This window comes from Homo sapiens, chromosome 18, assembly GCF_000001405.40.
Source record: "Homo sapiens chromosome 18, GRCh38.p14 Primary Assembly".
NCBI classification, from domain to species: Eukaryota; Metazoa; Chordata; class Mammalia; order Primates; family Hominidae; genus Homo; species Homo sapiens.
Window position 1 is genome coordinate 32331626 of NC_000018.10, and position 13055 is coordinate 32344680.

The window sequence follows — 13055 nt, forward strand, 5'->3', positions numbered from 1 at the left end:
CGTGTCTGATTCAGAAGGTGTCGGATGGGGATCAAGAACGCATCTATAACAAGTTCCCAGGTGACAAGGTTCCCCTTTGAGAACTCCTGGCCTAAATAATAAGAGGAGGGACAGGTCACAATTGTATTGTTAGAACAGAGAAGAAACTGGGATATGAGAGAGGTCTGGGGGTGGGTTGGGCTTTGGGTCATTAAAAGAAGGTGAAGGGGAAAGAGTGAGGAGAGAAACACTGCGAGTGGTGACAACATCTGGGCGCAGGCAGAGCCATGGGTGGGAAGGACGCACGGCAGGGACAGACTGACAGGGCTGGTGACCCAGGGGACGGGAAAAGGCATTGGTCTTTTCCCTCCTCCCTTGTAGACATCACAGAACTGACTGTGTCCTTTCGTACAGGAAGGGTGAAGAGAGTATCATCTAGGATGCTTGACAGAGGCAACTCACTTGGGGCATTTGTGGTTGGGGACTTGCGTCCTCTTCCTCTTTTATCCTCCCTTTTTGGAGTGCTAAGACTTTCTGGTGTGCCTTCCTTTGGGATACAGTTTTGGCTCTGCTCAGAGGAGTGAGAAATACATGGCTTAGTGTAGTCTTTGCCTACCAGGTTTTAAGAGAGTAATGGCGGGGCCGGGAAGAGCGCATTGTGCTCTGAGCAGCTTGGGTCTGAGGTCCTGAATGCTGGTGTTCATTCGCTCAGTGGATGCGGTGTTTACTGCACAGAGGCACGCCATGTAACACACCAGAGACGCAGCCCAGCCCCCATGCTCACATGGGGGGGTTGGAGATATACACTTTCTACAACCAGTTTTGCAGCTAAGATTTAATTGACACAGCAGTTAAGTGCTACGGAAGGGTGGCATGCAGAAGCTGTCATTGGTAGGGGCATTTGGCACTGGTGTGGCCTTCCTTCTACCTGAGGAACTGTAAGTGCAGCGTGGCAGCTGGACAAGGAGGGCTGTGGAGGCAGCAGTTCAATCCTATCAGTCCTCTGCTCTCAGCACTTCAGTAGCTGAGTCCCACTCTCCTTCAGCCTCCCTGCCTATCACCAAGCCCACCACACTGTCCCTGCTGTGTCTCCTACCACACCATCTGACGGGACACTGTCGGGATTAAACGTAGTAAACCTAGAGAAGAGTTCAGTGCAGTGCTTGGCACTTGAGGCTTCAGAGATGGAACCTGTTGTTTCTAAGCTCTTAAAGCTGGTCCCTCCTGTCTGTGCCCCAGAAGCCTGTGTGGACTCTTTCCTGAAAACGATGGCATGACAGAGAGAGAGTATCAGTGGCCAATATAGTGGCCTAGGACATGGATTGAAATGACAATGACAAAAATAGACACAGGAGAGGAGAGGAGGGTGCCGTTAGGGGAGAATTTTTTTTTTTTCTTTAGAGAAGCTGAGGCTGAGATGATGATAAAATAAAAAAGTAGAAATGTATTCAGTAGGCTGCTGAACTTTGGAATGGGAGTTGATTAAATAGTGAGACCTACAGGAGATGACAGGGAAGCCAGGAGGGTTAGGTTTTCTGTGGAGATGATGAGAGGGAAAAGAAAGAGAGAGACATTAAGAGGAGGGAAGAAGAGGGATAGAGGAGGAGGAGGAGGTGGAAGAGAGACAAGGAAGGGGAGTGGAGAGGGGGAGGGGGAACAGGCACTGAATCTTCACGTCAACATAGTGGATGGACCAAAAAAAGAGAAAATGAACAGCAGACAGAAAGCTGGGAGAATGGAATGTTAGGGAGAGTGGGAAGAGGAGTCCCAAGGAGAGTTCTCACTAGTGTCTGGGGCTACAGAGGGCCAAGGAGCAGACAAGGGAAAGACCATGGGTCTGATGGTGAGAAGCTGTTATGTCAGAAGCCAAGTTTCAAGGGCAAGTGCCAAAAGAGAAGATTGAGGCCCCTTGTAGGCACTGCTGCAATCCAGTATTCCAAGTCAGAACTACAGGAGTTCTTGAGTAGTTTGTATAACTTCCTGAGCCAGTATACAAACTCCAATAAAGTGGAAACCTCACCCACTCTTTTTAATTCAAAGGAGCCTCCAATGCTGCAAGGCTGTGTGATTTCCTGTGAAGAGGTGGCTCCATGGCAATAGATCTCATCCTCTACAACATTAGCTGCTCTGAATGCTCTTCCTGGGCTGACAATGACGCTCAACCTGATTGCATTTGGTATTTTTTTTCCTCCTCAGTTTTGGAAATAACCTCTAGGTGCTTATCATTGGTGTCAACAATGGGAGCAGGAGCAGCTGTGTCCAGCATGGAGTCAAGACTCAGGTCGCTACACAGGCCGGTGTGCGGTCCGCAGAGTGAAGAGAGAAGTCTATTTGTTCCACCTAAGCAGGAAAGCCACAACCACACAGGCCAGCCCCTAGATGGCTCCGGAGGATGATTCAGGGCAGGATCTGTCAGGGATGCTGAGACCATATTGTGCACTGAGCAGTTAGGAACATTGTGACATTGCAGTCGGAAAGAAGCTGGTGTCCCGAGAGAGAGAAAGAGCAGAAACCCACACAAACTGTAACCCAGCCAGATACTTCAATTCCCAATCTAACTTAGCCACTTTCCCATCAGAAAAATCTATAGGAGAAGAGAGAGCTTTATAGAAGACTTAATCACACCCCGAGGGGGGCACATTTTCCAGGCAGTTCGGATGTGCGACGAGAAAGCCCAGAGGTATATTTAGATTCTACCGGCAACAGCTTTAAAACACACGACACCCCGAGATGTCAAGATTGTTATTTTTGTGGAAATAAAACCTGCTGCCAAGTTTTTATTTACCAAAACTTCTCACCTTACAGGAAAAATAGGAAAGTGCAAATACTCTTAAACAGTCACAGGGAGTGGGGGGAGGATGGACAAGCGAAAGCCAGGAGGGTCTTAATATTTTTCTAGTCCAAGGAACAGATGCAGAGGGAGGCTCCGGCTTTATGCAGCAAAAGATATTTCCCCCGAGTGGGGTTCCACATGGAAGCGGAGGAACAGGAGATAGTAAAAGATGGTGTACTTTTGAGGGGCACAGGCAGTCCTGACACGGCATAACCTATTCCCTGTGTTTTTGCTGGTTTTAAAGGTTTCTTGTCAATGTTAACTTTGACAAAAATTAAGGATATCCTAATTTTGTCTACCTCTCTTGAGCTAAACACAGAAATACAACCTCCGATAGATCACTTCTCTGCCCTTACCCAGTGAAAATCCCATGATTCCATTTCCCTCTTCTTGGTAGAAGTGGGAAACAGGTTTGGGTACGAGATATGTGGGCACCCTCAGGAGAGTTGACAAAAATATCTAGACACCTCTGCCAGAAGGAGGTGGCTGATACTACCCTCTCTTTGCTGGCGAATGCCCACTCAGACTGGGAGCTTTGAGGACCGCTCTTTCCGCCCACTCCTTCCTTCCTCCTCAAATATAGCCACCTTCCCCCACTGCCAATTTTCAAATCGGCACAATGATTAATGACCCAGGCAAGAACTTAATTTCCTGTCCAGTAGTCCAAGGCTGATTTCCAATAAAAGAACTCACTCAAGGCAACGATTTCCTCTCTACAGCCTCTAATCTTTTATTCAATTGTGGGCATTCTTCTCTCTCAGTGTGAAAGCTGAATCAATTTTTGAACTTCTATTTGGCGAATATTCCAAAGAATCATAGAATGCTAACGCTGGAACAGACCTTAAAGGCAATGTAATTCACCCTCCTCTTTTCTTGCAGTTCAAACAGGCCTTAAGTTGGAGGCTTTGACTCACACGGTTCTGTGTGCACATGGTCAAGCTGCAAGTGAAGAGGGAATTACTCTCGTTAAAGGACACAGCTTGGGTCCTTACTGGTCTCATTATGGAGTTACCTTTAATGAAACAGTCCATTTTGAACTGGGAGCTAATCACCATGGGAGAATATTTCTGCAATTATGGGCTCCAGCAAAACACAAACAAAACAGGTGTCAGTGAAACCCTTTGGACAGAGCAATGCAATTACTATGTTCAATTACCTCAGGACTCCTTCAATACCCACTGCAGATTTAATGAGTTGTCCTGATTTGAACTACATGTATCCATCTCTTGTATTTATTTCTCAGAAATGCTTGATAGATAACTCCACTGCTTTCTGTGAAATTAATTCTGAAAAGCACAGGTTTCTAAACAAGATGCTAATGACTGCATAATATAATACCTTCTTTAGATGCATGATTTCCTGTAGACAATTCTAGTTGCAATTCAGGAAATGCTTTCTGGGTTGATGCTTAATTGATCTGAAGTTCACAAGTGAGGGATGCAAATGGCAAGCAATGGGTTGGGCTGATGGTGGGCTGTGGAAGAGCAGAGTGACCATGGGAGCAACGGAGTGCACTGTAAGCAGCGAACGCTGACACTACCAGAAAGAGTAATGGGCATGAGGTTCAAAGACGCTAGTTTGTGTCCAGCTCTATTTATTATTAGCTGTGTGCCCTTCCCCAAGTAATGTATTCTTTTTTGAGGATCGGTTTCGTTATCTGTAAACAAACAATAATTAAGGCCTGCCGGGATGTTATAAAAACCATACAGTAGGCCGGGCACGGTGGCTCACACCTGTAATCCTAGCACTTTGGGAGGCCGAGACGGGCGGATCATGAGGTCAGGAGATCGAGACCATCCTGGCTAAAACGGTGAAACCCTATCTCTACTAAAAATACAAAAAATTAGCCGGCCGTGGTGGTGGGTGCCTGTGGTCCCAGCTACTCGGGATGCTGAGGCAGGAGAATGGCGTGAACCCGGGAGGTGGAGCTTGCAGTGAGCGAAGATCGCGCCACTGCACTCCAGCCTGGGCAACAGAGCGAGACTCCGTCTCAAAAAAAAAAAAAAAAAAAAATCATACAGTATATATGAAAGCAGCAATCACAGTGCCCAGCAAATACTGGTGCTCTATAAGTACTTACCAAATTTAAACATCTTAATTCCCTCATGCTGTACTTTCTTCTGGATTGAAACATCTCAATTGTCATAAAAATGTAAATACAGGGATTTATACAATTATTGAAGTCTGCATATAGCGAGGCTGGGCACCAACAAAAGTTAAATCTACATCAGTTCTGACCTATTTATTCCCCACTCAAACACTCTGATGGATGAAAAGTTAAATATGGATCATAAACAGCCACTGAACTTAACAGTATCAACCTGAAATGAAGTGCAGCTTGAATCGGAACAAGCATGGGCCTTAGACCAGATGGGCTCCACTTACCAGCCCTTCGGTAAAACTAAAACTACTTGAAAACTTAAAACTACCCTGAAACTTACCTTCCTGACTTCACAGGTTGTTACGAGGATTAAATAATATTAGTGGCTGTCTGTAAAACAGCACAATTCCTGGCTCAAAGTAGGTGACAGAAAATGGTGACTGCTAAAACTATACAGTCTAGGGGTCCTTAAGTAAATGCCATTCCTCTGTTTTTGCTTATTTTATAACATCAGCTCTTCTACCAACTGCAGATTTGTTGTGAAAACCCAATGAGAGACTCTAGGGAGATATTCAAAACCATACAGAATTAGACATGGGCACCTGTATATTCAAGGCACAAATACATTGGGAAATCAATTCCTGGAAAATATTTACTTTTTAATGGCCTGGTTATGGCTCCAGAAGGTTTGAAATGGTGCCAGAATTGGGACTAACAGAGCCATATGCAATTTTCTTGTGAAAGACCAATTGGAGCTTTGGCCACACACTTAAACGTCATCCTGGCAAAACAAAGCAGATGAAACTATCTGATGAAGCCAGGACAATTCTTTGAAAAGTTACAATATGTACGTAAGTGGGGTGAGTGAATACACATTTTAGGACACTACGATTTAGTATATGGCCCACAAGCTTGAAACTGATAACTCGGTAATTCTGTGCGCTATTACCCGGCTTATCCACTTAAAAGTGAGACTGCTGCCTGAGGCTTACGGCTTCCCATCTGCATTAGTCATAGGAAAGAAGGACAAGCTCTGCTGCCATTACCTTTGAGATCTAAATGATCTTAGGCAGAATGCAGAATATTCAAAACTAAGATCTTTACCACATTTGATATGACAATGAGTAAGTGATACGAACTTTCACAGTGGCCAAGAGCTAAGGAGCCAGAAGGTGTTTCCAATGGCTATAGGATATCTCAGTAAGACCTTGTTTTCTACTCAAAACTCAATTTGTGCTGCAAGCTCTTCCAGCCTAAAATTAGTGGGTGGTTTTCTCAATCATCGCCCGGAGAACTCAGCCAGTCTGCCACTCGTAACTTGGACAGCATTTCTACCTTAACCGGCTCTCTCAGAGACAGTATTTTGAACTTCCTTGGTTGAATGCAAAACACATTCGCTAACTAACCAAACAAACTGGAAGGAGGCATACCACAAGACCCAAACCCGACAGACTCAATGACTGTGAAAACACCCTCTCAAAGGCATGGGGCAGCGAGGAGGTGACCTGAGTGAGTGAAAGAGGTGGTTTCTTCAGAGTTTCAATACTTACTCATCCACAAATACAAAAAATGCAGACGGAGGAAGGAATGGACTGCAAACTTAAATTCCTCTAATTTCCAAGTAGCTTGAAATACCTACAACCCCAGAGGGATCAAGTTAGGCATATAATCTGGTAAATTTATTTTTATTTCCCCTACCGTGAATTCAAGTAGGAGTTCTGTAAATATTCATTCCCATAGTCTGTCTCTGTTTTTCTCTCTCCCTTCCTTCTCTTTTAGAAATAAGGTGTTTGGGGGCATGGCAGGGAGGGACAGGAAGGGCTCAATTTACAGTGAGAAGACCTAGGTTCAAACTAGCCACTTAATGGTCCTCAATTTGGCATGGAACCTAACACTGGCTCAACCCGTTTCCTCATCTGTAAAATGGAAAAGAACCATGAAATGCTTATTTTCTGTGTGTTGAGTGTATGAGTTTTTAGTTTTGTAATACAAACTGTGAGACAAAATGAAAAAACCATGATGCATTAAACACCCTTAAAGCAACAGCAAAGCTCCTTAACAAGCAATGGCCTTTGGTTCTTTAAGGTCTTGAAATTTTGGATGTTTTGGACACTTGACATTTAAGCTCGAGATAATCAGACTAAAGCCTGAACCTCACATGGAGGCCATCTTTTCTAGACCTGCAGCATTGCAGAGCTTTCCTGGAGCAGACAGGGCAGCTTACTGAGTGTGATGGTTAATGTTGTGTCAACTTGGTTTGATCACGGTATACAGATATCTGGTCAAACACTATTCTAGATGTCTCTGTGAAGTTCTATTTTTGGACAGGATTAACATTTTACATCAGTAGACTTTGAGTAAAGCAGACTCCCTCTATAATGTGCGAGGGGCTCATCCAACCAGCTGAAGGCCTTAAAAAAGAAAAAAAGGAGGAATCCTGCCAGGAGACTGCCCTTGGTCCCAAACTGCAGCTCTTTACCAGGTCTCCAGCCTGCTAGGTCTCTATCCAGCACTTTGGACTTGTACCTCTATAACTGTGTGAACCAATTCCTTAAAGTAAATCTCCCTCCCTCTATCTATAAATACCACCCCCTATCCTCCAACTCTGCTGCCAACTGGTTCTGTTTCTCTGGAGAAGTATGACTGATATACTGGTTTCACCCTTCTTAATTTGTTTTTAACATGAAACCATGAATATTTATTTCATATTGACCTTTGCTTCCACTTCCCTTGCTGATATGAATGCCAGGTCCACCGCCCACTGATAAGTGCCTGGAAGAAGCACACCTACCATGATTCTTGCAGAACGACTATGTGAAAACACTGTCCTACTATGCAGGGAAATGTCTGAGGGCAGATATTTCTGTATATTACAGCTTCCCTGCTGGCCTCTAAGAAAAACTTCTGAATATAAAAAAGCACTTGCAGGCAGAAAATGTGGAATCCTTATAGACTGAAATTTTCTTTACAGAAGATGGGTTTGGGCTGGACCTATGGGAAGGACTGCTGTCTGGACCACCTCATTCACACCTACAGCATCCACTTTGTGCAGACCTGTGTCTTCTAAATCTCTTCCTAGCCCAGACCACCTTATGCCTGCCTCCACTGGACAATTCCTCTACGATGCCTTGCAGGTGTTTAACATATACAAATCTAATTTCGTAGTATTCTCTCTAAATCTGATCTTCACTCTCTGTTCCTTAACTTCCCAAATGAAAGTCAAAATCCAGAAAGTAATATAAACCGGGAACGCGGAAGTCATCTTTATCATCATGGCATCTCTTCACATCCACTCCACACATAGTACCATTAGTCCTTCCATCCGAATGTTTCCTGAAGCTGTTCCAGCTGCTCCATCCCTGTTGTATAAGTTCTGACCCTGTATTCCACCCATCCACCACACTGGTGCTGGAGTGACCACTCTAAAATGCTATCTAATCCTATAATCATGGCCTTGGCTAAAATCTCTCACTAGCTCCTAAAATACCTGGACACAATTCAAAATCCTTCCTTCAGAACACAGCAGTTCCCCTGTTCTCCAGTGGCACTTCTTGCATGTCCTCATGGAGCTTATGTTCTCTACTCCAAACCTGGCCTTACTCCCAGTTCTGTGGGATGCCCTTTTCCTACTTATTTAGGCAAACTGCTGTGCTAGGCCCTGAGGGCTATAATGATGAGCAAAGTGGACAGTCATGGCCTCTTAGAGATTCTTGACAAGTGATGGGTGTCAGTTATTAAACAATCACTCAAAGAAGTATGTAATTATAACTAGGATCCACGCTCTAGAGAAAAAGTGCTGTGAGATTATGGGAATCAGACTTTGTCTAAGAGACCCAGGTCAAAGCTTCCCAGGGAAGTAACTTTGACCTGAGACCTGAAAGATGAGCAGAGGTCAGGCTGCAGGAATTGAGAGAAGACTGGCATGACTCGGGTCCAGAAAGAAAGGGGAAGAAAAGCAGCACATGATGAAGCTGCAGAATAGGCAGGGGACTATCACAGAGACTTGCAGGCAACAATGAGATTTCACTGAGACTTCCTTGGACTCTTCCATCTCTCTTCCTTTAAAATTTTCTCTTAAAATTTTTAAGGGGCTGTAAAAGTAAAGTATGTTTACTGCAACAACTCAACAATAGGAAAAGAAGTAATAGCAGCATACCATTTATATAGTATTTACTGGATGCTAGGTACTTCCTAAGTGTTTTCATGCTGTTATTATCCATAGGGAAGTGCAAAGTAAAAGCCCAGGGCCATAAAGTTAGAAAGTGAGAACTAGATATCCCAAGGAGTCTAGTCCTAGAGCCCAGCTCAGAGCCACCAACTGGCCCCACCTCCAATCTCACCCCCTGAAGACTGACGTAAAGTGTGTTACATGCCCTTGCTTGGGTTTCTCTGTGCTTAAATATATAAAACAACTGGATGAAAAAGAATTGATGTGTATTGGATTATTTTTTTTTTGATACTTTAAGTTCTAGGGTACATGTGCACAATGTGCAGGTTTGTTACATATGTATACATGTGCCATGTTGGTGTGCTGCACCCATTAACTTGTCATTTACATTAGGTATATCTGCTAATGCTATCCCTCCCTCCTCCCCTTACCCCATGACAGGCCCCGGTGTGTGATGTTCCCCACCCTGTGTCCAAGTGTTCTCATTGTTCAATTCCCACCTGTGAGTGAGAGCATGCAGTGTTTGGTTTTCCATCCTTGCGATAGTTTGCTGAGAATGATGGTTTCCAGCTTCATCCATGTCCCTACAAAGGACATGAACTCATCCTTTTTTCTGGCTGCATAGTATTCCACGGTGTATATGTGCCACATTTTCTTAAGCCAGTCTATCATTGATGGACATCTGGGTTAGTTTCAAGTCTTTGCTATTGTGAATAGTGTCACAATAAACATACATGTGCATGTGTCTTTACAGCAGCATGATTTATAATCCTCTGGGTATATACCCAGTAATGAGATGTCTGGGTCAAATGGTATTTCTAGTTCTAGATCCTTGAGGAATCATCACACTATCTTCCACAATGGTTGAACTAGTTTACAGTCCCACCAACAGTGTAAGATAAATGTTGATATTTTTCTTTAAAGCAATGGGAAATCACTGGAGTTTCTTTCTTTAATATGGCAGCAATGTAATTAATTTCTGTTTTTGGAAGATCGTCACACTCTGGTTCCCAAGTGGAGAATGGGGTGGAGCGGGGAGAGGTGGAATGGAGAGGAGATACCCAGCAACCATTTAAGGGCAGAATGTAATCCTCTGGGCTAAGACAGTTGTAATGGCAGAACTGGAGAGAAGTGAATGGATTCCAGATTTACATAGAGGATAAAATCATCGGCGATGGGTGATAAAGCCCATACAACAGGAGGGAGAGGGTCCTGTCAAGGATCATGCTGAGGTTGCTGGTGATGAGGTACGTCTGGGAGGATGACAAAGTGAGGTGGAGAACACTGATATTGCAGGCCACCAAAAAAGAAAAAAAAAGGTTTATTTTGAATAAGTTGGGTTTGAATGACCTTTGAGACCTGGCATTATAATAATTATTGCTATTTACTTAAAGCCTGCTACATACCAGGCATTGCATAATCATCACTTCTAACCACTCCATAACCTTTTTTTGAAGTTGGTACTATTATTATCTTCACTTTACACATGAAGAAAAATGAGGCGCAGAGGTTAAGCATCTTGCTTGAGGTCTCGAAGCTAAAGAGAGTCAGAGCCCTACAGCACATTTACCATCAATAACTCTCCTGGGTTATCTCAGCATCCTTTGAAATGACCCGCCCTCCTCCAGGCTAGTCTCATCCTCCACGCTGCTGCTGGACACTCACTTGATCATGTCATTCCCAGCCTAAACTTTTGCAGGGCTCTGCTTACCACCCTTTTGGTATGGCACACACAACCTTGCATGATCCCACCAACCCGTCCTGTGACTTTTTTCCCTGAGGCTGAGACATATGGGATAGCTAAGAAAGGCAGCGCTCTCTCCTGTGTCTGGGACACCTTCCCTCCTCTTGTCCTCTATGCTTCCTACACACCTCAGCTCACAGTGGACTCCACATCCTTACTCTGCTGTACCAACTGCTCCAGCAAAATTGTCTGATTGTCTCTCTAACAAACAGAAGCTTCTTGAGGACACTCTTTGTTTGGAATCCCCAACCCCTTATACATACAAATTGAAAGGAAGAATAAATAATTGAATACTATACACATCCAAATGTCTGTTGAATAAATGAAGGGGGTGCTGCATGAATAAAAGCTCAGAAGACTTTGCAGCAAAGACAGGTAGAGGTCTACTTTTATGGTACCATGCCCACCGACCCACTCTAGCCACAGTTTCCTTTGCCCCATCTATGTACTATCTATGCTTCTTTTGTACTAAACAATTTGGCAGATACTATCACCAGTTTATAGATGAAATAACCTGAGCTCACATCAGAGTATTTGCTAAGAGCCTTGAAGACAACATGTCTGACAGTCAGTCTCCCTGTATCTCTGATATTCATCCCAAATGGTAAGAACATTGCTAACTTGTTTTAGGAACTGCTATCTTCCCAAATTGCTCAAACCAAACTTTAAACAATTACTGTTGAATTTTCTGCTACACAGCCATAAACGTAAAAAACAAATTTAGTTACAGAAAGTACACTACGTAGAAAATGCCAGAGTTGGCAAAAAATGATACAAACTGGAAAGCGGGTGGAGAAAAAGCACCGTCACTGAGAATCTTCAAGTAATTCCGAAAAGCTAAAAGAGTACTCTCCCCCACTGTTTTTTTTTTTTTTTTTTTTTGAGACAGAGTCTTGCTCTGTAGCCCAGGTTGGGGTGCAGTGGCGCGATCTCAGCTCACTGCAACCTATACCTCCTGGGTTCAAGTGATTCTCCTGCCTCAGCCTCCAGAGTAGCTGAGATTACAGGCACCCGCCAATTTTGTATCTGTGGTAGAGACTGAGTTTCACCGTGTTGGCCAGACCGGTCTTGAACTCCTAGCCTCGAGTGATCTGTCCACCTCAGCCTCCCAAAGTGCTGGAATTACAGGCATAAGCCACTGTGCCTGGCCACAACAAGAGTACTTTTAAACCAAGCTAGTTCAAAGAAAATGAAACAAAATGTGTACTTCATATTATCAATCTCATATATTCCAGATTATGAAATATTAATATCTTAGTATAACATTTTACCATTTGCCTAACATGCACTTACGGCAACTTCATAGGAAATACTGTTGCCATCTGGCACTGTCTAGATCCATGTGAGCAGTCAGAATGGACATCTGAGTGTCAGTAAGCCACCCGCTCCTGGCAGCCTGGGAGAACAGCTGTCCAGGATATCCACAGGCACCCCCCACTCCCAGCTCTGCTGCCCCACACCTGAATACAGACAGGCTGCTCCTTTCCCCCACAAGCCTCTCTGACTCCCTCCTAGGCACACTCCCTCCTGGCATCTTCAGGTCATTCCTCGCTTTGTTTTTGCCAAGGCTCAGATCTCCAGGGGCTTGTGTGTATCCTATTCTGGTCTCCTCCCATCTCATCTTGAAGGAAGTCTTGGAAATGCCCACCTTGGCAAGTGGTATTAATAACACCTCTGCATTACAGTCACAGAACTGCGCTGCCTTCCTCCCCGCCTCCTCACTCCCAGTCCCCAACTGTAGGCTGTTTCTTTAGGAATTGATCTCTTTTTGGACCCAGATACTCAACTAGACTTAGTGTAAATAGGCTGCATTCCTGTTGAAATCTGGTCCTGAACCACTGACCTCTTCCCCAAAACTCAGGAGCTTTCAAAGTTTCTCAAAATTGGGGCAATGCTGACCAGTAACTTTATCCTTCTTAGTACTGGCAATATACATCAACCTTCTGCTAAGAGCCAATGTGGACAACTGGGACATGTAAAGAAGCTCAACATGTTGCATTAATGTTTGGATTCATAAGGTACAAAACAGATTATCAACAGAAATTATCAGTAATTATGCCTAATCACGCTAAATGGGAAAAAAGTAACTGCTCACTATGCTGAGTATATAGCAGTTTACTCTATCTAGAAATGCCTAATTACCTGAATAATATTTTGGAAATTAAATTATATGGGTAAAAAAATTAACTAAAGATTTCTGGTACAAAAAACAATTTTCAAAATAAACACT

The 13055-nt window shown here is 43.9% G+C and overlaps 1 protein-coding gene across 6 annotated transcripts in view, besides 1 other annotated feature; it reads right to left on the reverse strand.

The window, feature by feature from the left end:
* Positions 1 to 13055, reverse strand: part of GAREM1 (GRB2 associated regulator of MAPK1 subtype 1) — a 207361-nt gene that overhangs the window by 68104 nt on the left and 126202 nt on the right. The window contains exon 1 of one of the 6 annotated variants that reach the window (XM_047437740.1): positions 1 to 13055. This exon is cut by the window's right edge and continues 19223 nt beyond it. The exons of the other annotated variants lie outside the window; for them this stretch is intronic. The gene's annotated coding sequence lies outside the window, so the exon portion shown is untranslated. 6 annotated transcript variants of the gene reach the window in all.
* Positions 268 to 768: an enhancer, noted in NCBI's record as "H3K27ac hESC enhancer chr18:29911856-29912356 (GRCh37/hg19 assembly coordinates)". NCBI's record gives its function as "activates a minimal SCP1, AML or CMV promoter by ChIP-STARR-seq in naive H9 embryonic stem cells {active_cell/tissue: H9 hESC(naive)}" and the evidence as "EXISTENCE:reporter gene assay evidence [ECO:0000049][PMID:30033119]".